Raw genomic sequence first — 25920 nt, 5'->3', positions numbered from 1 at the left:
GCTTACCCTGATGGAGCTCTTAGCACTCGCCGGAGGATGGACTAGGGCATGGTGCCGAGACCCCCCTCCATGCTTCTGCGTGACCTCACTCCAGCTTTGTCTGCCTGTCATTCTGGCCATATATGGCCTAGGTCCCAATCTTGAAGGCTTCAAATCTCGGATCCTGTCCCAGAACAGAGGTGGGCCTCGCAGAGCCAGACACTATCATGGGAAGTGTCTAGGCCCCTCTATGAGCGCCCCCTAGAGCCAGAAGTCAGGAGAAGACCAAGAGCCTGCAGAGACACGGAGCCAGATCCACTTCCAAATGGGATAAGGCAGACAGTGTCACTCCTACCCCTCCCACAGCTCAAGACCGTCTCGTGGCTCCTCATAGCAACAGTCCCACCTCTCACCCACCTCTTAACCTCCTCACTCTTTCCCTGCCCTGGGTCTGAAACTGTGAACACACTTGGTCTCTTCCTGCCTCACCATTCTCTCCATCTGGGGCTCTCTCCCTCCAGAACCTTCACAGTTTTCAGGTCTCAGCTTAAATGTCACCTTCTCAGGGAGGCCTACCCTGACTTCCTTGGCTAAACTAACTGACTCAATCATTATCTTCCATATCCCGTTCTTTGCCTTCACAGCATTTATTAAACTGTGAACTTCAAAAGGTATTTTTATTTATTTGTTTTTGTAGAGATGGGGTCTCACTATGTTGCCCAGGCTGGGTTTGAATTCCTGGCCTTAAGCAATCCTCCTGCCTTGGCCTCCCAAATTGCTGGGATTACAGACATGAGACACTGTGCCTGGCTAAATTCTGAATTTTTAAATGGGTGTGTTTTTTCCCATCTTCCTTCATAAGACTATCAGCTCCTTGAGGGCAGGGACCTTTTTGTCTTATATACTCCTTTATTTCCTAAACCATGAAGACAGCCTATCATCCAGAAAGTGCTTAATAAATATTTGCTGAATGAATGAATGAGTGGAAGAGACTGTGATGGAATGGTAAAACACCTGGACTTGGAGTTGGGCTGACCTGGACTCAAACACACTCCTTCCTTGCTGTGTTACCCTGGCTGAGTTGATATACCTCTATGAGCTTTACACTCTCTTTTTTCAAATAGGGTGTAATGAAACCTAGCCTTCCTGGGCTAAGGCAAGGATTACAAAGGACAAGGGATGGTCAAGTGCTTTACAAACTGTAAAGTGCCCGGGGTAAAGAGAGGCTGTCAATTTTGGCTCTCTGGACGGTTGTCAAGGTGGCCGCTCATCCTCTCATTTTCTTAGTGCACAGGCAGCTTTCTTAGGTCCTGGCCAGTGAAACTAATTGGATGGAGTCCCAGCGTTGCCGCAGGGAAGTGTGGAAGCTCAGAGCACTTAAAACTTAACTAGCCAGAAGAGTTGGATTTGCATTTCAGCGAATGAGACCAGAGGGATGGAAGGTAGTGCTGGGAGGAATGTTCTTGAGGTGGCTTGCAAAGGGCTCAGTTCTATGCTAAGGCAGAAGGACTGAGCTGGTGGGGGGTGAGCTGGGGCCTGACACTGCAGGTGTAGACCCGTCACAGGTGTCTCTGCCGATCAGGGCCCTCCGAGAGCAAAACAGGAGGAGAGGGGGAGGCCCACCATGGAGACATGAATACAGTGACTATTCCTGCTTGTCACTTGGAGACATTTAACTGGACGTCTTGGAGAGGGGGTAGGGAGAGAGAGGCAGACACAAAACAGTGGCAGACAGAGAGAAAGAGACAAAAATGAGAGAGAGATGGAGAGAAAGAAGTCTCAGGGAGGGGGAGTCCGCCCAGTGTCTCCCATGAGCTCAAAACAAAGAAGGAAATTAAGATAGGCTTCCCCGGGGTGCTGCACACTCCCATTTATCTCAGAGAACCCCTTGCCTTTCGTTTTCTTGTAGAGATGGGGTTTCCCTATGTTGCCCAGGCTGGTCTTGAACCCCTGGCCTCAAGTGATCCTCCTGCCTTGGCCTCCCAAAATGCTGGGATTACAGGAGTGAACCATCGCACCTGGCCCCCCACGCCTTTCTTTCTTTTTTTTTTTTTTTGAGATGTAGTCTTGCTCTCTTGCCCAGGCTGGAGTGCAGTGGTGTGATCTTGGCTCACTGCAACCTCTGCCTCCTGGGTTCAAGAGATTCCCCTGCCTCAGCCTCCCAAGTAGCTGGGGCTACAGGTGCCCACCACCACTCTCAGCTAATTTTTATATTTTTTAGTAGAGATGGGGTTTCACCATGTTGCCCAGGGTGATCTCAAACTCTTGGCCTCAAATAATCTGCCCACCTTGGCTTCCCAAAGTGCTGGGATTACAGGCATCAGCCACTGCTTCTGGCCACCCCCATGCCTTTCATCATGCAAGCATCTTGCCTCAAACAGGGTGCGTCTAGTATTTAGGGATCTTTGTCTTTCCACATGGGCCCCCAAAGTTGAGCCAACCCCTTCCTCTGGTGCCCAATCGAAGAGAGACCAATCTGTTGCCAGGCTGGAAGAAAGCTGGGCTTGAACTTCCAAGAGAACTGGTGTGTGCACCTATGTGACACCTCCCTGGGGGATTCCCAGGCCTGTCAGGGACACTTTTAGAGCCCACCTCCACGTTCTGATGGGAGCCACCACCCCACTCCTCACCCAAATCCGCATCTCTCCTGCTTCATCTGTCTGCATTCTGCTCCTGTGACCATTGCCACATCCGATGCCCAAGGTACAATGTTCACTTCGCATTTTCTCTAAATCACTCACTGTTCTCACAACATAAATTCATTCAGAAAGGAACCTTCAGATCACCACTGGAAATGAAAAGCCAGTATCACTTGCAATAAATACAAAAGAACTGTCAAAAAGAAATTACCATTGTAAAAATGTTCGTGAGGAGCCGGGAGCGATGGCTTGTGCCTGTAATCCCAGCACTTTGAGAGGCTGAGGTGGGATCACTTGAGCCAAGGAGTTTGAGACCATCCCGGGCAACATAGGGAGACCCTGTCTCTACAAAAACCAAAAATATTACCTGGGCATGGTGGTGAGCACCTTGTGGTCCCAGCTACTCAGGAGGCTGAGGTGGGGGGCTCGCTTGAGCCCAGGAGTTGAAGGCTGCAGTGAGCTATGATCGCACCACTACACTCTAGACTGGGTGACAGAGCAAGACCCTTCCTGAAAAATAAAATAAAATAGAAACAAAAACATTCATGAAGAATCTAAAACAGTGGATTCAATGGGGGATTATTTTGTCCCCCACTGTCCCTGCCCTCCCCACCACAAGGATATTTGGCCAATGTTTGGAAACATTTTCTGGTTTTTATGACTGGGGTATGTGGGGATGGGGGGGGGTGCACATTCCTGGCATCTGGTAGATCAAAGCCAGGTATGCTGCTCAGCACCCACTAACGCCTAGGACAGCCCTGACATCAAAGCCTTCTCTGTCCCCAAATGTCAGTAGTGCTGAGGTTTAGAAATCCTGCTCTAAAATGAGCTTAAGCACCGCAGAGGGGTGAGCCCCACACTTTGGGCAGCTGTGGCCTAGTTAATTCCTCCTTCTCCTTCAGGCTGCACTGAAACATCCTGCCTCAGGGAAGCCTTCCCTGACCCCCAGAACAGAGCACCCGGTGTAGGCTCTGGCTCCAGGGGCCCCTGTACCTCCCGAGCCCTGACTCATGACCCTTGAGGGTGATTTCTTGCTAGTACCTGCCTTTTCCACTGGAGCAGAAACTCACAGTGGGTAGGGGCCATGTCTGTTCCGTTGGTCTCTTTTTTTTTTTTTTTTTTTTTGAGACTGAGTCTCGTTCTGTCACCCAGGCTGGAGTACAGTGACACAATCTTAGCTCACTGCAACCTCTCTTTCCTGAGTTCAAGCAATTCTCCTGCCTCAGGTTCCCGAGTAGCTGGGATTACAGGCACCGGCTACCACACCTGGCTAATATTTGTATTTTTAGTAGAGATGGGGTTTCACCATGTTGTCCAGGTTGGTCTCGAACTCCTGACCTCAGGTGATCCATGCACCTCTGCCTCCCAAAGTGCTGAGATTACAGGCTTGTAACACTGCTTCCGGCCCCGTTGGTCTTTTTCTGCAGCCCTTAGCGCCGTGTCAGGCTTGTAGCAAATACTCAATAGCTACATGTGGAATGAATGAAGGTTGGGCCAAAAAGAGATGTGGACTCTACTCCTGGACTCACCACAGCTCGCTGAGCCCTTAACCTCTTCTCAGCCCACTTTCATTCTCACCTGTGAAATGCACACCTAATGGGCCTGTTGTGGGGATCAAAGGAGAATGGGCATGAAAGTCCTCAGCAGGGGACAAGCCAGGGCATCCACCAGGGGGAGGATCCCTTGCAGAGTGGGAGTCATTCCCTCATTCATCAATTCCACCATCACGGTCGAGCACCCTGGATGTCTGTTGTCCCAGGGTAATTTTATTTTATTTTTTTAAGAGTCGAGGTCTTGCTCTGTCACCCAGGCTGGAGTGTAGTGGTATGATCATAGCTCATTGCAGCCTTGAACTCCTGGGCTCAAGCATGTGAATTTCTGGGGTAGAAATGTAGAAGGTAGAGATGAGATGGGCAGGATTGTGACTTAGGGGTGTGTACATCCAAGGGTGGCTTTCCCCGCTCTCCTGGATCTCATTCCCACCCAATCACAAGCCTGAGAACTTTCTCCTTGTCCTCTCTCCATCATCCTTCAGGTGAGAGGCCCACGCTCATCTTGGGGAACTTGTGAGGGTACAAGGCCACCAAAATGGAGCTCAGTCCAGGTGAAGAGGCATGTGGGGTGTCCAGGACACAAGTGGACACAGATGAACACAGGTGGACACAGGTGGCCATCAGGAAATACAGGTGACACAGGTGACACAGGTGGGCACAGGTGGACATCACTCTTTTTGAACAGCCCTCGAGGATGTGCTGGCTGTGTCTGTGAGCACACGGCCCAACTCGCAAGGTGTCCACTGTTCACTCAGACTGGGAAAGGACCATTTGTGAGTGCCAACTTCACCTCCCTGTGGCTCCCAGGGGATGTAATGGAAAGGGCTTGAAGTGGAGGCCGGCGGCCTTTTAGGGAAGCCCTGCTCATATCTGCATAGTGCAGCTCATTCCTTCTTGGGGCCAACCATCCCCCTCTCCTCCTATTCTTCCCCCTCCTCCTCCTTCCGTCCCCCTCCTCCTCCCCCTTTTCCTTCTCCTTTTCCTCTCCCTCCTCCTCCTTCTCTCCCCCTTCTCCTCCCCCTCCTCCTCCCCTTTTGCCTTCTATTCACCCTCCCCATTCCCCAGCCTTTCCCATCCTCCCCCTTCCTCTCCCCTTCCCCTCCTCCTCTTCCTCCCCTGCGTCCCAGTCCCCTCCAGGCGAGCAACTTTAGCTGATCTCCAGGTGGAAGGGGAAGAGAAACTGTCTCTCTCTTGATAGCGTATTCTTCTCAACCTTTTTCTTGGAACACCTGGATGTAGGCTTTTGAAATCTCCAAAGCCAAATTGGGCTCCTGTTCTCTCAGTCTTCTGGGACAGCTGTGCCCTGAGGTCATGGGTGTTTTCTATCTAGTTACCCAAATGACAAGGGGAACAGGGAATGCTGGCAGCCTGGCTACATGTCCATTAATGTCAGATATCGTCCCACCAGCAGTTTGTCCTGGGTTACCCTGGACCCACTAGGTCCTGCGGCCATGGCCTCTGGGATCACTCTGAACCCCACCTGGGGGATCAGAGCCTAGTCACTGCCACAGGGCTGGATGGGGGCAGCTGAGCTGAACAAGGCTGGTGGAAGTTCAGTAAACCCATTACTTGAAATTGGAAGGTCTCCATGAAGTGCCACCTCCGATTTGGACCACTTCACTTTAAAAGGCAGAATTCCAACCAGAGTGACGCTAATGACTCTGGTAATCTAAAAGGGGACCTTTGGAGAAAGGGCAGAGAAATTGGAATGATCTCTGCAGACAAGACAAGGTTGGGGGGCACCTCAGTAATTGCTGACCCCCCAAAATGCTCCTCTCAAGAAGATGCCAATCGGCTCACCCCCCTCCCCGTGTCCTCAGAGGGCAGAGCAAGAAATTAGCTTAAATTGGAGCGGGAAAGATTTAGGTTATGTGTAAGGAGGAACTTTTTAAACCCTGAAATATGCTACCAAGAGAGGCTTCGGGTTCTCAAGAGGGTGTCTAAAAATAGCTTGTTCTTTAAAAATAGGTCTGGGCAAGTTTTAAACATAGCATCAGCTCAGCTTCTCAGGGGTGGCCTTATGTGCAGGTGTACCTGGCCACGTGGGGTTCCCCCAGGGCAGAGGGCACAGGGAAAAGCCAGGCTTTGGTCTCCGTCGTGACCAACATCAGGATATTTTAGATACGTTCAGATAAGAGATTTATTTTTTCCTCTGCCCCCAGCCGATTGGTCTCATGAAACAGCAGCTTTTAGTTTCTCAAGTTTTTTTTCCGCGGGAGGCTGTTCTGGGGCTGATATTAATTGGGTCAGTCCCAACAGCTTCTCCTGGTTGCTCCTAGTTTCCCCCAGTCCCTTGCCATTCCTGAGCCAGGGTTCTTCAGTGCCTGATGGTTTGCTGGGAAGTAAGCGGTCTCAGCGGTACCCGGTGCCCCGGGGCTCCATGCCTCCAGCATCTCAGCGCCCTGGCAAGTCCCGCCCATCCTCATCCTCACCTGCGGGGAGGACTGCAGCTGCTCCTCCCAGGCTCCCTGCCTCCTGCTCCTCTCGCCTGTTCTCAGGCCACAGCCATGCTCACCATCCCCACCCAACCACTTTGCTCCGAAAGTTGCAATTCCTGCCCCGGGTCCTCAGGATAAAGTCCAAACTGCCTCGGATGGCTTAAAATTTCCCATGGAATGTCCTCGTTTATCCCTGCAGCAGCATCTCTCACCTCTCACGTGCCCCACCTAAGTGCCTGTGACAGCCACACCAAACCACTTTGCCTGTGGGTTTCTGCTGGTGTGGGTTCCCCTGCCTGCTCCACCCTCCTCCTCCTCCCTCTGACCCTTCCACTCTCAGCTGCTATATCATCTTCTGTGGGAGCCTCTTCTGACCTCCCCACCCCACAGACCCCGGGACTTCTCCTCTTGACTGCCCTGACACCGAGAGGTGCCCAGCCTGTGTGTCTGCCTCTCCCATCCCAATGGAAGCACTGGGAGGACAGGCCGCTTGACCACTGTGGAAAAGCCTGAAGCACAGCAGGTGCCTGATATTTGCTCAGTGACCAGCTGAAGGTCAGGGGTTTCCCTTTGCAGCCCTCCTGCCCCATCTTTCTGGCTCCAGCATCCTCCAGGTCCCCACCAGCCCCTCTGTGTCTCAAGTCCCGGACATGACACGCATGCCCAGCATCTACGAGAATATTTATTTAAACATGAGTGCTCACTGCGTGTTCTCAGTAATAACTTAGCATCTTTAGTAATAAACTCTATTATAAATCAATTAATCAGCTACCTCCCTGGTATCTCAATTAAATGGAGCGTGGCATTCGCATAAAGCATCCAAACCCTGTCAAAGGGAGCCAGGCCAGAGGCAGGGGAGATCCTGGATTTGGGGTTGTCACCGCTGCTCTATGTCCTCACCCAGGGGTAGCTCCAGGCTGGAGACCCCTTGGGAGGGGTCATGTGGGCTCTGGTCCACCCCCACCTCGAGGGAGGCGCAGGAACCTGCCACCCCTCTCCCCAGTGATTGAGCAAAAGATGATTCGTGGCATCTCGGGTTGGCATTCCTGTGTGTCCTCTGGACTCAAGAGGCCCTGACAGGTGTCACCAGGCCAACTTGTCTCTCCCTACCTGAATCCCACAGCTGCCCTGCCTGGGCTCACTTTAAATTCATGAGCACGGATCTCACACAACAAGCAACACTGCCCTGAGAGCCGCATGCATTTCTGCAGCGTGTTTGTGCTTTCCCACTCTCAGAAAAGACTATTTCATACCCTCTGCTTGCCGCTCCTCAACCCCCACTTCCCCACTCTCAGCTGGTGACCTTGTCTCCAGCTTGCTGGAGAGAAGGGGGGTGAATCTGCTTAAGAACTCAGATCCAGCAGGGCACAGGGGCTCCTGCTTGGATCCCGGCACTTTGGGAGACTGTGGCAGGAGGATCTCTTGAGGCCAGGAGTTCAAGACCAGCCTGGACAACATAATGAGACCCTGTTTCTACAAAAATAAAAATGTCAGCCAGGCATGGCAGCACTTGCCTATAGTCCCAGCTACTCTGGAGGCTGAGGCAGGAGGATCATTTGAGCCCAGCACATTGAGGCTGCAGTGAGCTATGATGGTGCTCCTACACTCCAGCCCGGGCAACAGAGCGAGACCCTGTCTTAAAAAACAAAAAACAAACAGACAAAACTTGGGTCTCGCTCAGACGCTGTCTTCCTGCTCTCTTGGGTAACGCATCCCAATTCCCATCAAAAGCCAGCCCTCTTGTTTTCTAGAACCTCCTCGCACCTTCTGGCCGTCTCTGGACCTTGCTTCCACAATCGCCCTCTCGCTCCCCTGCTCTGTCCATCTCTCCCTCTCCACGTGATCATTCTGCATGGGCATGGAAACATTCTCTATCTCCCATTGTTAAAACGCCTTCCCGGCGTTTAACATTCTCTATCTCCCGGTGGCTCATGCCTGTAATTCCAGAGCTTTGGGAGGCTGAGTCTGGAGGGTTGCTTGAGGACAGGAGTTTGAGACCAGTCTGGGCAACATGGAGGGACGCTGTCTGTACAAAAAAAAAATAAAAAAAAAAGGTAGATGATAGATAGATAGATGTATTACATGTATATATTTTTAAATAAATAAAATGCCTTCCTGAGCCCCAGGCCCTCTCCAGCTATCACCCCCATTTTCCCACTTCCCCAGGCAGCATTATGCTTTGAAAGCTTTCTCTATCATTTACCCTCCTCCTCTTCTAAACCTCTTGCAGTTGAAGACTCCACGCTGGTTTTCCCTCAGCCTCCCTGGCCACTCTGCCTCAGCTTTCTTTGCTGGTCCCTCCTGCTCTGCTTAATATCAGATGTTGGCTTCATCCTGGGACCCTTCTCTCTCCTCTTCCTACAGTCTCTCTCCAGGTGACCTCTTCTAGGCACATTGTGTTATTTATCATTCGCATGCAGATGATTCACGCATTTAAGTCTCCGGTTCTGACTACTCCTTGAATCGCAGAACTGGCCCTTCAACTGTTTGCTTGCTATCCCAGCTTAGATATAAAATAGGCATTTCAAGGCCGGCACGGTGGCTCACGCCTGTATTCCCAGCACTTTGGGACCAAGGTGGGCAGATCACCTGAGATCAGGAGTTCAAGACCAGCCTGACTAACATGGTGAAACCCCTGTCTCTACTAAAAATACAAAAATTAGCCGGGTGTAGTGGTGGCACCTGTAATCCCAGCTACTCAGGAGGCTGAGGCAGGAGAATCACTTGAACCCGGGAGGCAGAGGTTGTGGCGACCCAAGATCATGCCACTGCACTCCAGCCTGGGTGACAGAGTGAGATTCCCATCTCAAAAAAAAAAAAAAAAAAAAAAGGCATTTCAAATGAATATGGCACAAATAGGATTCTACCCACCCAAACTTCTTCCTCCCTTCATCTTCTTCATCTTGGCAAATGGCATCTGCCCAGACGCTGAAACCCAAACTCTTGATGTCATCCTAGATCCCAGGGATACCACCTGTGTGCAGCCCAACAGCGAGTCCTATTGACTCCACCCTCAAAACTTGCCCCAGGCTGGGCACAGTGGCTCACGCCTGTAATCCCAGTGCTTTGGGCTGGAGGATCACTTGAGGCCAGGAGTTTGGGACCAGCCTGGACAACACAGGGAGACTCCATCTCTAAAATAAATAAATAAATAAATAAATACAATAGCCAAGTGTGGTGGCATGCACCTTTAGTCCCAGTTACTCAGGAGGCTGAGGCTGGAGGAGTTTGAGGTTAACAGTGAGCTATGATTGCACCACTGCACTACTGCTTGGATGACAGAGTGAGACTCTGTCTCAAAACAAAACAAAAGTAAACAAACAAACTAAACATACCTCAGAGCTGCCAGCAACACCAGCCTAAACAAAAACAGCTTACCCTGGGCCCTTGCAACAGCCTGTCAGCCGGGCTTACCTCCTCCCCTTACAATCACTGTCTCCACACAGTAATCAGAATGATTTTCTTAGAAGAATCAGTTAGACCCCTGCTTAAGGCGGATAGCCTTTTACTGACTTCTCGTCCTGCATAGGGTGAGAGCCAAACTGCACTGTGGGCTCCAGGGCCCTGCATGGCCCTGCTCCTGCCTGCCTTTCTGACTCCATCTGACACATCCCTCCCCTTTCTTTTCTCTTTTTTTTTTTTTTTTTTTTCTTTTTGGGATAGAGGCTCACTCTGTCACCCAGGCTGGAGTGCAGTGGTATGATCTTGCCTCACTGCAGCTTCTGCAGCTTCTGCCTCCTAGGTTTAAGCGATTCTCCTGCTTCAGCCTCCCGAGTAGCGGAGGCATGTGCCACCACACCTGGCTAATTCTTGTATTTTTAGTAGAGATAGGGTTTTGCCATGTTGGTCAGGCTGGTTTCGAACCCCTGACCTCAGGTGATCCACCTGCCTCGGCCTCCCAAAGTGCTGGGATTACAGGCGTGAGCCACCGCACCAGGCCCATCCTACCCCTTGCTCACTCTGCTACAGCATTTCCTCCCAGCCTTCAGCCCCAGCCTTTGCCCAGGCTTCTCTCTATGTCTGGAATGCTCTTCCCCAGTCTTCTGCATGGCTGCCCTCAGCTCCTCATTCCAAACCTCTGCTTAAATGTCACTTCCTCTGAGATGCTCTCCCTAACCACCCAGGCTGAAGTGCCCCCCACCTCCAAGGACTCTTCACCACTTGGCCCTATTTTAGTTTTTTCATGGAAATGTTTACTGCCTGAAATTTCATGTTAGTTTATATGCTAATTGTCTGGCTGCCTCCACTAGAACCCATGCCCGTTAAGAGCAGGACATCCGCCCATCTATTCCAGTCTACCACTCCCCAACCCCCTGGAATAGTGTCTGGCATGTGAAAAGCCTTTGCTAAATATTCGTTGGCTGATTGAATGAATACATGATAAATGAATGAATGGTGACCCTGACACGTGCTCTCCTAGACAAAGTTTTGCAGTCTGGTCCTGTCCTAGCTCATTGCCATATCCCACACTCTTGACCTTTATACTAACCAGCCCAACATCCCCAAGCACCTCTCAATCACTGCTCATTTATTCATTCAGTAAACACTTATTGAATGCCTACTGTGTGTCAGGTACTGGGCTTGGCGCTGGGGATTCAGGGGAGAGCCAAACAGATCTGGTCTCTGGACTAGCATACAGTCTAGTGGGCCTACATAGTGAGTCTCAGATGTGCACTCTTCATTCATTCATTCATTCAAGAAACTTCTGTGGAGCTTATTTTGTGCCTAGTGCTGTTCTAAGTGCTTTATAAATATAAGCCACTGAATCCTCATACCAGTCTATGAGGTAGGTACTATTATTATCCCCATATGACAGGTGAGGAAACTGAGGCACAGAAAGTCAACCTACCCAATGTTACAAAGCTGGTAAGTGACTGTATTAGTCAGTTCTCACATTGCTATAAAGAACTACCTGAGACTGGGTAACTTGTAAAGAAAGGAGGTTTAATTGGCTCATGGTTCTGCAGGCTGTAGAGGAAGCATGGCTTGGGAGGCCTCAGGAAACTTACAATCACAGCAGAGGGCGAAGGGGAAGCAGGCATGTCTTACATGGCTGGAGAAGGAGGAAGAGAGTGAAGCGGGAGGTGCTACACACTTTTAAACAACCAGCTCTCTCGTGAGAACTCACTCGCTATCACGAGAACAGCAAGAGGGAAATCTCCCCCCATGATCCAGTCACGTCCCACCAGGCCCCTTCTCCAACACTGGGGATTACAATTCGGTGAGAGATTTGGGTGGGGACACAGATCCACACCATATCAGTGACAGAGCTGGAAGCTCGGCTCTCTCTTTCACTTTCCTGGCTCTGCTTTCCTCTGGGCTCACCTTGTGATGCACTTGACATTGTCTCTTAATTCTTAGCCCCCCTGGACTCAACACTCCTGGACTTAACAGAATTCAGCTTCCTCAGTTTGGACTAGCACAGGGCAGGGCTAGGAGTCATGACAGCTCTTCCTGCTCTAAGTTCTGGGGAGCACCACACCCAGCCCAGCTCTGGCTCCCTGGCCAACATCCCCCCATTTCCAGTGTTCTCCAAGATTTCCTTGGGGCCTGGAGGAACCATACCCACCTGACCACACCGGTTGGGAATTCCATTTATAGTTTCAGGAGTTGGGAGATTCCAGAAACCACAAGGAGAGATTTACAGCTGTGGGTTTCCTGGTGTGAGTCCAAGCCAGGAAGTAATCACGGCAGCAGGAAAGCCTCATTCATTTAGTCTCCTCTAATTCAGGAGGTGCAGTAACTCACCAAAAAGTCTCTTTTTAATTCAGATGAGTTGGAAATGATTCCTTCTGACAAGGATTTGTAGGACAGATGCTGTGGGTGGACCTTGCTTTACAGAATGAACAAGCTTTTGAAAACATAGGCAAGGTTCAGATTTTTTTTTTTTTTTTTTTGAGACGGAGTCTCCCTCTGTCACCCAGGCTGGGGTGCAGTGGCACGATCTCGGTTCACTGCAAGCTCTGCCTCCCAGGTTCACACCATTTTCCTGCCTCAGCCTCCTGAGTAGCTGGGACTACAGGTGCCCACCACCACGCCCGGGTAATTTTTTTGTATTTTTTTAGTAGAGACAGGGTTTCACCGTATTAGCCAGGAGGGTCTCAATCTCCTGACCTCGTGATCCGCATGCCTCGGCCTCCCAAAATGCTGGGATTACAGGCATGAGCCACCGTGCCCGGCCAGGGTCAGATTTTGAAGCAGAATCTTTAAAATGCAATCAGAGAGTTCCACCAAGGTATCTTTGAGTGAACTGTAATTTTTACTTATTGAATTTCCTTAAAGCATGGTCTCTCGTATTTGGGGATAAATAGAATTTAATTTAGGAATCAATGCTTTTCTAAACTAATAGTTCAGAAAATTAATTATTTTGCCAACAGGCTAAGTCCACCTTCTGGGTGGGAGATTTTGTATTAAAATACTGTTGTGCTCCTACTATCCTGGCATAAGGAGTTGTCCTTCTCATGAATATTCCAGCCCTCAGAAAAGGAACTGGCAGAAGACTAAGAAAGGGGTCAACACCCTTCTGAGCAGGAACAGCTTCTGGGCAGGGTAACAATTCCAGAGAGACTCAGCATTGGGCAGTAATAAAGAGGAGAGACTTGTCCCTTCAGAAAACAGATTGTACTGTAAAGTTACAGTGATTAAAACAGTGTGGCACTGATGCAGGAACACAGAGAAAGATCGGTGGGACAGAATGAACAGTTAGGAAGTGCACCCATGTAATTATGGGACTTGGAATATGGTATAAAAGTGTCCTTTAAAATCAGTAGGGGAAATACAAAAATTAGCCAGGTGTGGTGGTGCGTGCTTGTAGTCCCAGCTACTTAGGAGGCTGAGGTGGGAGGATCAACTGAGCCTGGGAGGTGGAGCTTGCAGTGAGCCCAGATGGAGCCACTGCACTCCAGCGTGGGTGACAGAGCGAGACTCTTTCTCAAAAAAAAAAAAGTTTATTAATTGTTTTAAAAAGGTGTAATCTATGCAACAGACAAGATTAATATTCAGAATACACAAAGAATTCCTACCAATTGATAAGGAAAAAGATTTTTAAAAACAAAAAGAAAATTGGCAAATGATACAGACATTCAAAGAAGCAGAACTAGAAGTGGTTAATAAATGTGAAAAATGCTCAAGCTCACTAGTACTAAGAGAAATATAATAGGCTTTTGGGGTCCCCATTCTCCCATTAGCAGCCAGGCAGTTTTCTCTGCTCTGTCTTAAAAGAGTGGAAAGTCTACAAAACACTGAGAAAATAATGGTCCCCTGACCCCAGCCAAAGCCCACTCTACAGCTGGGTCTTCTTACTAGATGGGGGAAAATGCTTTAAACATAAACAATTTAGCCTCTAATCCTAGCACTTGGGGAGGCTGATGTGGGAGGATTGTTTGATCCCAGGAGTTTGAGACCAGCCTGAGCAACATAGCAAGACGCTCATTTCTACAAAAATGAAAATACAAAAAATTGGCCTGTCATAGTGGCATACACCTGTAGTCCCAGCTACTTAGGAGGCTGAGATGGAAGGATCACTTAAGCCCAGGAGCTATGATCGTGCCACTGCACTTCAGCCTGGCAACAGAGCAAGACCCTGTCTTAAAAACAAAAAGAAAGAAAGAAAAGAGAACTACCCTCTCTGGCCTCCCAAGCTCTGTTCCTGCTGACCTCCCTTACCCAGAGGTCCCTGTTCTCCACAGTGATCACAGGCAGACAGGCAGGCAGGCAGCAGAGAGGCTGTGGGTGTGTGGGGACAAAGCCCTTCCTTACTTCCTGACGCTTTGCTCTGCTCTCTGCCCCACAGGCCTCCTGGGAATGGTCGCCCACATGATGTACACGCAGGTGTTCCAGGTCACCGTGAGCCTCGGTCCTGAGGACTGGAGACCCCATTCCTGGGACTACGGGTGGTCCTTCTGGTAAGTGGACCTTCAGGACAAGAGCAGCTTCAGGCACCAGGGCCCAAGGCACGCTGGGACTTCAGCAGCTCAGCCCAGTGGGGTGGGGGGCGGTGGGGGGGAGGAGAAATGGGGAGAGTTGGAGGGGCTGTAGTCCAAAGGCGCTTTAAGACCCCAGGGCAGGGATTGGCAAACTAGGGCCTGTGGGTCAAATCTGGCCCACCACCTGTTTATATGCAGCCCTCAAGCTAAGGATGGCTTTTGGATTTTTAACTGCTAAGAAAATAAATCAAAGGAAGAGGAATGCTGTTTTGTGACATGTGAAAATTACATGAAATTCAAATTTCAATGTCCATAAATAAGGTTTTCTTGGAACACAGCTACTCTCATTGTTTTATATTATCCACGGCTGCTTTAACACTGAGATGGCAGCACTGGGCGGTGGTGACAGAGACTGAATGGCTCACAAAGTCAAAAATACTCTCTGACCCCCTGCCGACCCCTGCCTAAGAGGCGTGCTATGGAAGGTTGGAGATGGAAGCTGGCAAGACCTGAAGTTAGGCGAGCTGTGGAGGGTTCTGGGTGGTCTGATGGGGTAGGTGGACTCCAGTGAGGGGCTCTGAATACAGGAAACAGGTCAGCACCTCAAAGCAGGGTTTGCATATGAAAGGCATGATTAGTCAGGGTTCTTTTGCTTTTGAGTGATAGAATCCCAAGCGTAAGTGAACAAGGGGTGTTCATTTGTTTGTGTAACTGGAAAGTCCAGGTGGATCAGCTAGGGTGCTCTGGGTTGTAACAGAAAAACCTACCTGCATCAGTCTAAGTAAGGAGATATCATACATTGGTTCATGGAAAGGAAAAGCACAGCTATGGTGTGGACTTCAGGACACGTTTGTTCCAGAGTCACTGAGGTCATAAGGGCTGAGTTCTCTTCCTCTGTATAGTCATCTGAGCTTGGCACCCTCCACATGTTTACTTTGTTGCTGGGCTGGCTTCCCTGTTGGGGAGAGCTCTTCCTAAGGCTGGTGCATTCTCCTTCCCTTGTAGGAGAGAAAGGGCCTCTTGTTCTCCAAGATTGACTAGAGTCCCAAGCTTCCCTCTGGTGGGCTTAGGTCATATTCTCTCTCCTTATTCATTGCCACAGCTGGGGGAATATCATGAGCTTATTCCCTTAGTTTGACCAAGCCCACCTCTGGAGCAAAGAATGAGTCAAAACCTCTCAAATGGTGAGTGGATGGAATAGATGCTGAGTGAGCTACCACAAAGTCTGCTTCAGACACAGCTGGATCCAGGTGACCAGATTTCATCTGGAACCCAGTCATGCCCTCATGCCCTCTCCTTATCTTGTCTCTCTTCCCTTTGAATTGGTGTTGGCTTCATTCTCAAACAGCTTTTCCCCAAATGCTAGCAAAGATTATCACAATGCACAGACCAGCCTTCCTTTTTTTTTTTTTTTTTTTTTTTTTACAGAGTCTCTGCTCTGTCACCCAGGCTGGAGTGCCAGACTTCCATCTTAAAATTGTAGCAATACCAGCAGAGAGATAGGGTTTCTTTCCCATATTTCCAGCTAAAATCCTGGTTATGACTTTCATTGGCTTAGCTTAAGTATGTGACCAAACCTGAACCAATGATTTAGACCCTGGGGGAGACTGGAATGACCTGAGCCACATGGTCCAGAGCGTGGCATTAGCCTCACCCAAACCCTTGGACAGAAAGAGAAGTAGGGGAAGTCTCTTCAGGCTGGAAAGACAGAGACCACAATTGTCCACTACACAGGGTATCCAGGTCTGGGGCTGGTAGTTGGGGAGCATTTACCCATTCAGTCATTTAACACATATTAACTGAGTACTTCCTCTAGGACAGCTGTTCTTCTAGGTGCTCGGGATGCAGCAGTGCTGAGACAGCGTTGCAACAGGGATTGAGACAAGTGAACCAGCTGTATCTGAACTGTGCTGTGATGTAGATGTGTGTGGGGAGGAGAGTTCACAGGCAGCTGCAGGAGCACAGAGGAAGGGCATTGACTGACACAGCTTTGGGTGGGGCGGGTCCCCAGGAAGAATTTTGAAGGCAAAACAGGAGGGAATCAGGTGCTAGGCAGAGGGAACAGCAGGTCCAAGGACCTGGAGGTGAGAGAGCATCTCAGAATGGAGCAGGAGGGACTATGATTATAATTTTAAAAAAGACCCCATACCAGTTCAGTGGGCACCCCAGCTCCATCTCCACTCTCTGCTCAATTCCATCCTTTTAAAACCAAAAGCATTTGCCTTAAAGGGACCTTGACCCATTAACCCTGGCCCCGATCCCTTTAAGTAGAACAATCCCAGGGAAGCCAGCTGAGGTTCTGACCTCCCTTTACCCAACCCTTCCCCCTGCAGCTGTTCCTTCCTGAGACCTTGAACTTGGAAGATCTTCTCCCTGAGCTAGAGAAGGGCACAGAGGAAGGGAACTAATATTTGTGTTGACCATGTGTGTAATAATATCTTAGATTTACTGAGCGCTGATGTGCCATGAATCAGGTAGGTATTTCATGGAGGCACAGAGAACTTAAGTAACCTGCCCTGAGGTCTTCCAGCTGCGAGGGGTAGAGCTGGGATTCAAACCCAGGCAGTCTGGCTCTAGAGCCATACTGGAAGCCTCTCTGAGAAGATGGGTAATAATGAGAGTTCATTGATGTGCTTTCTGTGATGTTCCACACATGGTGTGTTCTCAGTAAACACCAGCTCTTATATTGTTGCTACTGATATGAAATTTAACACGCGCAACAACGTGCTACTGATGTGAAATTCGGCACGCGCGACATCGTGCTACTGGTGTGAAATTCGGCACGCGCGACATCGTGCTACTGATGTGAAATTCGGCACGCGCGACATCGTGCTACTGATGTGAAATTCGGCACGCGCGACATCGTGCTACTGATATGAAATTTAACATGAGCAATATCATGCTACTGATAAGAAGTTTAACACATGCAGTAACCTCGTGTTGCATATGCAGATGCTGAGAATCAGAAAGTTTGAATCACTTGCCCTGGTAGGAACTGGTTCCTCCCCATGAGTCCCCCTTTCCAGAAGGCCCTGGCTCTCTCCTCTGGTGCTCAGTGTCTCAAGTCAAGCCTGCTGGTGTCAGCCAGGGGAACATTCTTTCCCTGGAAGCCAGGGATTTCTGCCCTGCTCCTCTGCTCCCTCCTTCGGGGCTGGCCTCCCAAGGGGCACCGAATTCCCACTGGACTTATTAAAGGCCGGGGCCCAATGTGCAGCCCCTATTAGTGCTGATCCATTTCTCCCTGTCACTGAGACCTGCAAGATGGATCAGCCCCGTTTTTCATCCCTCACATTTGGGGCCTCGCCAGGGCTGCACCATGTCATCTCTCTTGTTTAATATGTGTGAGGCCATTTGTCAAAATCCTGGCCCGAGAGCCTCCCCTGCTCCCTCCCCCGGTACTGGAGAGGAGAACAGCTCTGAGAAGAGATGGCACCCACCTCTGTCTTCCTGCCCAGCAGGGAAGAACAAGCTGCAGGGTCTCTGGAAGCTGGAGGGGTTTTGAGGCGCTCAAAGCCGGTTGAGTGCCGGTTTCTTAGAGGGACACCTTTGCAAGAAGTAGAAGGTCTCCATGGTTAAGAGTCTGACAGCCTGGGGTTCAAATCTCACCCCGACATACACTGCTGGGCCACTGTGGCAGCGTGGAGGGGCGGTCAAGGGTGTGGCTCCTGGAGTCAGACAGTTCAGGTTCAGATCCTGCCCCTGCCCCTCACCAGCCGGGGACCTTGGCCAAGTCACTTACCTCCTCTGCACCTCTGTGTCCTCAGCTGGAAAATGGGACAGCCCGAATTTCCGCCTCATGGGGGTCTCTTGAATTGTATTCCATTTCTCTGTTGAGGTGTACACATCACCCCCAAATCTAGTAAAAAATATGTTATTATGTAGTAATAATAGTAACTAGTAAAAATGTGTTGTTATTTGTTCTTACGTTTGGTGGTGGACCGGGCTCATCTGGGTGGTGCTTGCTGGGTTCTTCCTCGAAGCTTCAGTTGGATGTCACCTGAAGCTGAGGTCATCTGGGGCGTGGCTGGGGTGGACCTCCAAGGTGGCACCTCATGACACTGGCAGCTGGTGCCGGCTGGCGGTGGCTGGCGGCCGGAGGGGCTTCACACAGCCTGGAGGCTGGGTCCTTGGGGAGACTATCTCAAGAGTGAGTGTTCCAGGAGACCCAGGTGGAAACCACAGTATCTGCATGAGCCAACCTCAGAAATCACACAGTGTCACTCCTGCTGCATTCTATTGGTTAAGAGCAAGTGACAGGGCCAGCTTCAAGGGGAGGCATGAACCGCGGGAGGTGTGGCTCCCTGGAGGCCAGCTTTGGAGACAGTAACCAACACGAGGAGCTAGTGAATCAATGCATGTGGAGCACTCAGCACAGAGTTTGCTCGGTGAGTGCGAGCCCTCCTGCCCACTCCTCCTTTTGGCGCCATGTCTCAGCTCTCCCTACCTGTGACAACGTCAGGTCAGGACCCTGATGGGCGCCCAAGCAGCTGCTTGGCTTAACGTGGCAGGGACCAAGTGAATCAGATTAAGGTTGGGGCCGAGCAAAGTGGCTCACCTGTAATCCCAGCACCTTGAGAGGCCAAGATGGGAGAGGGGCTGGGCAAAGTGACTCACCTGTAATCCCAGCACCTTGGGAGGCCAAGGTGGGAGAATCGCCAGAGGCCAGGAATTCAAGACCAGCCTGGGCAACATAGCCAGACCCAATCTCTAAAACAATAAAAAATAAAAATAATTAGCTGGCTGTGGTGGTGCACACCTGTAGTCCCAGCCACTCAGGAGGGTAAAGTGAGAGGGACACTCAAGCCCAGGAGGTTGAGGCTGCAGTGAACTGTGTTCGTGCCACTGCACTCCAGTCTGGGCTGGAGGTTCTGTCTCAAAAAAAAAAAAAAAAAAAAAGATTAAGGTTACTACACCTACTTTGTGCTGTGCACAGTGGGAGGCACTTTACAAGCCCCGAGTTGCCTGGTCCTGTCACTGATCCCCAGGAGAGGGGCTGCCATCCCCCTTCAGGGACCAGGAAACAGGTTGAAAGCCACACAATTAGCCTTGGATACTGTGAACTGCATGCAGCCGGGGCTGAACCCAGCCTGCGGATGATTTCTTAGGCCTGCCATTGTGTCTTATAAAAGTTTGGATTTATTTCTAACATCTAAAATGGTAAAACTTCTACATAAAAGTCCAGGTTTCTGATTCATGATCATTGGAAGATCTGTTCCTGCACAACCAGCATTGCCACCAGGCAGCCTGGAGATAAGGCTGAGAATGACTGAAACTTTAGATAGGCATCTGGTCTCCAGCTCACCCCAGTCCCCACCACACCCTATTGCCTTACATTTACCCACGCTTCCACACTTAGTCATCATCTGCCTGACCTTGCAGGAATTTGAGTCTGTGGCCCCTGCTTGGAATGTCAGCTTTCCTGGTGACAGCAGGAGTGTGGAAAGCTAGCCTTGCGCTTTCTGCTTCTGTTTTGCCTTTTATCAGTCTGGAGAGAAATGGAAAAAGTTCTCCTCTTACTCCTGCACACACAGTGAAATCTTATCTCAAGCATTCACTCTGCAGACTGAGGGTAGTGGGACATCGTGGTGTGGAAGCTTATAAGAGCTGGAGGGCCCAGAGAAGTTATGCAGTTTGGCCCATGTCACACAGCAAGAGAGTAGCAAGTTGGGCCAGATCTAGGGAAGGTTCTCACTCCTGTCCTAGTGGCCCCTTTCTGTTTCTGGGGCCCTGTCCCTGTGGAATATAGGCCTCACTGCTGTCCCTCCCTTTCTAGTCTCCATGACTATGTGGAAACAGCAGACCAGCCTCTTTCCTCTCTGGGGACCCCAGGCGGCCCCTTTGCTCTCTGGAGGGGTTAGCTGGTATTCCAGCAGGCCAATCCCTTAAGGGGTTGAGTCTGCTGCTGTGACCCTACCAGAGCCTGGGCCCCAAAGACAACTGGAGAGGGTGTGTGTGCTGATGTCTCTGCTGAGAGGCTGTGTGATCAGCAGGAAGTCTGCCCTTACTCATCAGCCTGAGGCAGGTGGCTGCGGCCTCCTTTATTCTAAGACCAGGGTTGGGGAAAGGGATGTGGCTGCCCAAGGGTGCCCTGTGGGCCATGGAGGGACCAGCTGGGCCCTCAGAGCCTGCCACTATCCAGCTCCTAGTCCCATCAGCTCTTGGGCCCTGAGGGTGGCCTGGATTATGCATCTGTGCCCAGCCGTGCCCCACATGGTGAATCTGTACCCCTCTGGTCTGCAGGCAGCCAAGGCAGCCTTCCTTAGTGATCCATTACAACCTCCCCACTGGGCAGGGCCTGGAGTAGGTTGCAAGGTGGTGTCTATGTGCCTCTAAATCTGCTCCCCCTGTGTCCCTCTGCCCCTGCTGCTCCCAGGGGATGAAGAATTGACAACCCCTGTCACCACCCTCCCCTTTTCTCCCTATGGTGTCCAATCTGCTCTTGGCTCCGGAAACCAGGCCAATCACCCACGCAGCTCCGTGTGCCAGTTCAGAAGTACAAGCTGCTAAAACCAGCAGGTGTTCTGGCCCCAGAGTTTTCAAACTGTGTATTTTGTGGGTGCGTTGGGGCCCTGGGGGGTGAGAGGAACAGGGAGATGAAGGCTCATGGATATAGCCTCTCACCCATGCTAAAACCAGAGCAGTGTTTTCATATCTGTCCTTTTCTCTGTTTTTATTTTATCTGTGTTTATCCATTCATTCCACAAGTATTTACTGAGCACCTATTATGTGCCAGGCACCATTCTAGGTGCTAAGGGATAGTAGTGAAGTGAACGAGGCTCCCATTTTCATGAAGCTGGCATTCTGGGATAGAAGAGGAGATAATCTTAAAAAACAAACACTAAGGATTCCAATTCTGAGAAGACAGAGTAGACATGCTTCTTCAATACAACCACAATCCTTGGACCTAAAGATAAAACAGACATCAGAAGACTCTGAAAGGCAGGAAGAAGACAGTAGGCTGGTTAGGTACCAAGAAACGACACATTGCTGAGTTCTTTTTGTGTTACATATCCCAGATTTGGAGCTGAAGAAGTCAGCAATTCAGAAATGCCTAAAGGACAGAAAAAAAAAAAAAGGCCCAACTAAAGTCCGCTTTCTCTAGCCAAAGGACCAAGAAAGGGTCAGCCCACTGAGACAGAAAACATTTAGCAATAACTTCACTACTCCAGTCACACATTACAGAAAAGAAAAATCTGTGGCTTCACCCACACCCATGCCAGGAAGGGAATGAGTGGTTAGATTTTGGTGACAATCACCAGGTGGACTTTCATCTCTGCTGGGCAGTAACAAGGTGCCCCTTTCTCCCTGCAGGGATTGTGTCAGAGGAGAACTAGTGGAGAGTCAGGATTTTTGCCACTGCCTTGTAGTAATAAGAACATCTCCCTCCCCATGGTGTCAGTGATGTGTGGGGAGCAGGGATGAGGCCCCCTGGCCCCTCCCAGCCAGGTATCAGCAGAGGCCTAATGGGGAGTCAGAACTCCCACCCCCACCCTCACCTGGTAAGAACCAGGAACCATCTCCATCTTGAATGTCAATGGTGGCTGATATGGTTAGGCTTGTACAAATCTCACCTTGAATTGTAATCCCCATAATCCCCACGTGTCAAGGGAGAGACCAGGTGGAGGTAATTTGATCATAGGGGTGGTTTCCCCATGCTGTTCTTGTGATAGTGAGTTCTCATGAGATGTGCTGGTTTTATAAGGGGCTCTTCCACCTTTACTCGGCACTCCTCCTTCCCGTGTGGCCTTGTGAAGAAAGTGCCTGCTTCCTCTTCACCTTCTGCCATGATTATAAGTTTCCTGAGGCCTCCTAAGCCATGCTGAACTGAGTCAGTTAAACCTCTTCCCTTTATAAATTACACAGACTAATACACTCGCCCAGTGGGAAACCTAGACTTCTACCCCTACCTGGAAGTAACTGGGCAGAGCCTCCACCTCGCCAAAGCCACCTTGCCAGAATGATGTGAAAGGAAGCCAACTAGAGCAGACAGTTTAAACAAGATCCAGAGTCTCAAAACATACTCCAAATGTCAAGGTTGCAATTAAAATCACATACCATGCCAAGAACCAGCAAGATCTCAACTTGAACAAAAAAAGACAATCAATAGATCCATGCTGAAATGACAGAAATGTTAAAAATCATCATAAAAATGCTTCAACAAGCAGTTGCAAACACCCTTGGAAAAATAGAAAGTCTCAGGAAAGAAGTAGAAGATAGAAAGAAGGACCAAATGGCAATTTTAAAACTAAAAAATTCAATAACCAAAATAGAAAGCTCAATGGTTGGGCTCAACAGCAGAATGGAAGGGACAAAGGAAAGAATCAATGAACTTGAAGATAGGACAATAGAAATTATTTAATTTGAACAACAGAGAGAAAATAAACTTAAAAAAATGTACAGAGCCTTAAGGACCTCTAGAACTACAACCAAAAATATAACACTGGAGTCCCAGAAGAAAAGGAGGAAGAGGATGGGACTGGACCAAGTACTGAAAGAAATAATGGCTGAAAACTTCCCAAATCCTGTAAAAGACATAAACCTTCAGAATCAAAAGCTGAATGAATCTCTAAAATAGTATAAATTCAAAGAAATCCATACCAAGACACATCACAGTCAAACTTGAAAAAAAACTAAAGTTAAAAAAAAAAAAATGAAAACAGTGAGAAAATAACATCCTCCCTAACTACAGGGGAAAAAATTCAAGCAACAGTGGATTTTGCATCAGAAACCATGGAGGCTAGAAGGAAGTGGCACAACATTTTGAAAGAAAAAGAAAATGAAAATGCTGAAAGAAAAGAACTATCAATTTAAAATTCTATACGTGGCAAAAATATACTTTAGAAATGAAGGGGAAATCACGACATCCTCAGATGAAGAAAAACTAAGAACATTTGTTGCCAGCAGACCTACCCTAAAAGAAAGGCTAAAGGGAGCTCTCTAAACAAAATGGAAATTTTAAAAAGGGGTTTTGAATATAAGAAAGAATGAATGAAAAATGGACAGAGAAACTTTACTTCTCCTTTTGAGTTTTCTAAATTATGTTTGATGGTTGAAGCAGAAATCATGATATAGTCTGATGTGATTCTAAATGTATACAGTGGAAATATTTAAGACAATTATATTATAAATGAAGGAAAGTAAAGGGTCACAAAGGGAGCCAAGATTTCTATGCTTTACTCAAATGTTGACACCAGTAGACTGTGATTAGTTATGTATATATAATGTAAGACCCAGAGCAACCCCTAAAAAAGCTATATACAGAGATACCCTCAAAATAACTATAGATAAATCAAAATGGAATTCTAAGAACTGTTTGAGAAATCCAAGGGAACACAAGAAAAAAGAAAAGAGAAACAAAAAACAGAGGAACAAGCAGGAAAGAACAAAATTAGGTGGCAGGCCTAAGCCATAACATATCAATAATCACTTTAAATGTAAATGGTTTAAATACACCAATTAAAAGTCAGAAATTGGCCGAGTGGATTTAAAACATATGACCCAAAACTATGTGCTGTCTACAAGAAACTCACTTCAAGTATGAGGAGATAGATAGGCTGGAAGTAAAAGGATGAAAATCATCTATCATGTAAGCATTAATCAAAAGAAAGCAGGATTAGCTATATTAATATTAGATAAAGTAGACTCAGGCAAATAAAATAACCAGAAATAGACATTAAATAGTGATAAAAGAGTCAATCCACTAAGAAGACATTGCAATCCTAAATATGTATCCACCAAACATCAGAGCTGAAAATCTGTAAAGGAAAAATTGATGTAGCTGAAAGGAGAAATAGGAAAATTCATAACTATAATTAGAGATTTCAATATGGCTTTCTCAACAATTAATAGAACAACCAAATGGAAAATCACCAAGGATATAAAAGAACTCAACATCATCAACCAATAGGATCTAATTGAGAAATGTTTCAAATCAAATCAGCTCTCATCCCAAGAACCTAGAAAAAGAAGGGCAAAATAAGCCCAAAGCCAGCAGAAGAAAGATGAGCAAAAATCAATACAATTGAAAACAAAAAATAATAGAATCAATGAAACAAAAAAGCTGGTTCTTTGACAAGATAAAATTGACAAACCTCTTGCAAGAGTGACAGAGAGAGCGGACAGAGGAGAGACACAAAATGCCAATTCAGGAATGAAACAGAGGATGTTGCTGCAGACTTTGAGGACATCAAAAATACAGTAAGATCATACTACAAACAACTCTACACACATAACTTTGACAGCCTGGATGAAATAGATCAGTTTTTCTAACAGCACAAACTGCCACAATTTACCAAATGCGAAATAAGTAATTTGAATATCCCTATAACTACTAAGGAAATTTAGTTTATAAATAAAAACTTTCAAAACAGAAATCTCCAGGTCCAGATGGTTTTACTGGAACATTCCACCAAATATTTAAATAAGAATTAGCACTTTTTTTTTTTCAGAAAATAGAAGAGGAGAGAAAACTTTGCAATTCACTTTATGAAGCTAACATTACCGTTATTAAAACCAAAGATAGTGCAAAGAACCGCAGACTAATAGACACCATGAATATAGATGCAAAAATCCTTAGCAAAACAATAGCACATAGAAGTCAGCAATATATAAAAATAATTATACGTCATGATAAGTGGGGCTTATTCTAGGGATTATGGCTGCTTCAATATTTGAAAAATCAGTCAGTGTCATTCACCATATTAACAGGCTAAAGAATAAAAAAATCACATGACCATATTAATTGATACAGAAAAAGCATTTGACACAATTCAACATTGATTCATACTTTTTAAAAAACTCTCAGAAAATTCAGAATAAAGGGGAACTTCCTCAACTTGATAAAGACCATCTATAAAACATCTACAGCTAACATTATACTTAATGTTGAAAGACTGTTTTCTTTCTAAGATTGAGAACACCATTATTATTCAACATAGTGCTGGAAGTTCTAACTAAAAATAAGACATAAAAGACATGCAATACATAAGACATGAAAAGAAAATAAAAAGTATACAGATTGTAATAGAAATAAAATATAACTATTTGTGGATGTTATGATTATCTGTGTAGACAAATTCAAGGAATCTACCAAAAAAATTGCCTAGACCTAATAAATAAGTTTAGTGTTGTCTTAGGATAGAAGATAAAAATACAAAATCAATTGTATTTTTATAAACTAGCAATGAACATTCGGACAACAAAATTAAAAATATATATCATTTATACTAAAAAAGTGAAATAGACATAAATCTAACAAAACACTTACAGGACTTGTACGCTGAAAACTGTAAACCACAGAATAATACCAATGAAAGAAATCAAGGAAGATCTAAATAAATGGGTAGATATACTATGTTCATGGATCAGAACACTCAGTATATAGAGA

General features: G+C 47.8%; 1 protein-coding gene across 6 annotated transcripts in view, besides 1 other annotated feature; it reads left to right on the top strand.

Annotated features, from left to right (window-relative positions):
* The window catches only part of GSG1L (GSG1 like), a 276187-nt gene that overhangs the window by 204252 nt on the left and 46015 nt on the right, over positions 1 to 25920 (top strand). For all 6 annotated transcript variants that reach the window (NM_001323901.2, NM_001109763.2, NM_001323900.2 and 3 more), the window contains one exon: positions 14402 to 14513. In NM_001323901.2, the coding sequence (NP_001310830.1) occupies positions 14402 to 14513 (112 nt within the window). The remainder of the gene's footprint in view (positions 1 to 14401; positions 14514 to 25920) is intronic.
* Positions 6788 to 7289: an enhancer, noted in NCBI's record as "H3K4me1 hESC enhancer chr16:27863495-27863996 (GRCh37/hg19 assembly coordinates)". NCBI's record gives its function as "activates a minimal SCP1, AML or CMV promoter by ChIP-STARR-seq in primed H9 embryonic stem cells {active_cell/tissue: H9 hESC(primed)}" and the evidence as "EXISTENCE:reporter gene assay evidence [ECO:0000049][PMID:30033119]".

The sequence above is a fragment of the Homo sapiens genome, chromosome 16, assembly GCF_000001405.40.
Source record: "Homo sapiens chromosome 16, GRCh38.p14 Primary Assembly".
Taxonomy (NCBI): Eukaryota; Metazoa; Chordata; class Mammalia; order Primates; family Hominidae; genus Homo; species Homo sapiens.
The sequence above is the reverse complement of the archived record's forward strand: the minus strand, read 5'-3'. Positions and strand labels throughout refer to the sequence as shown.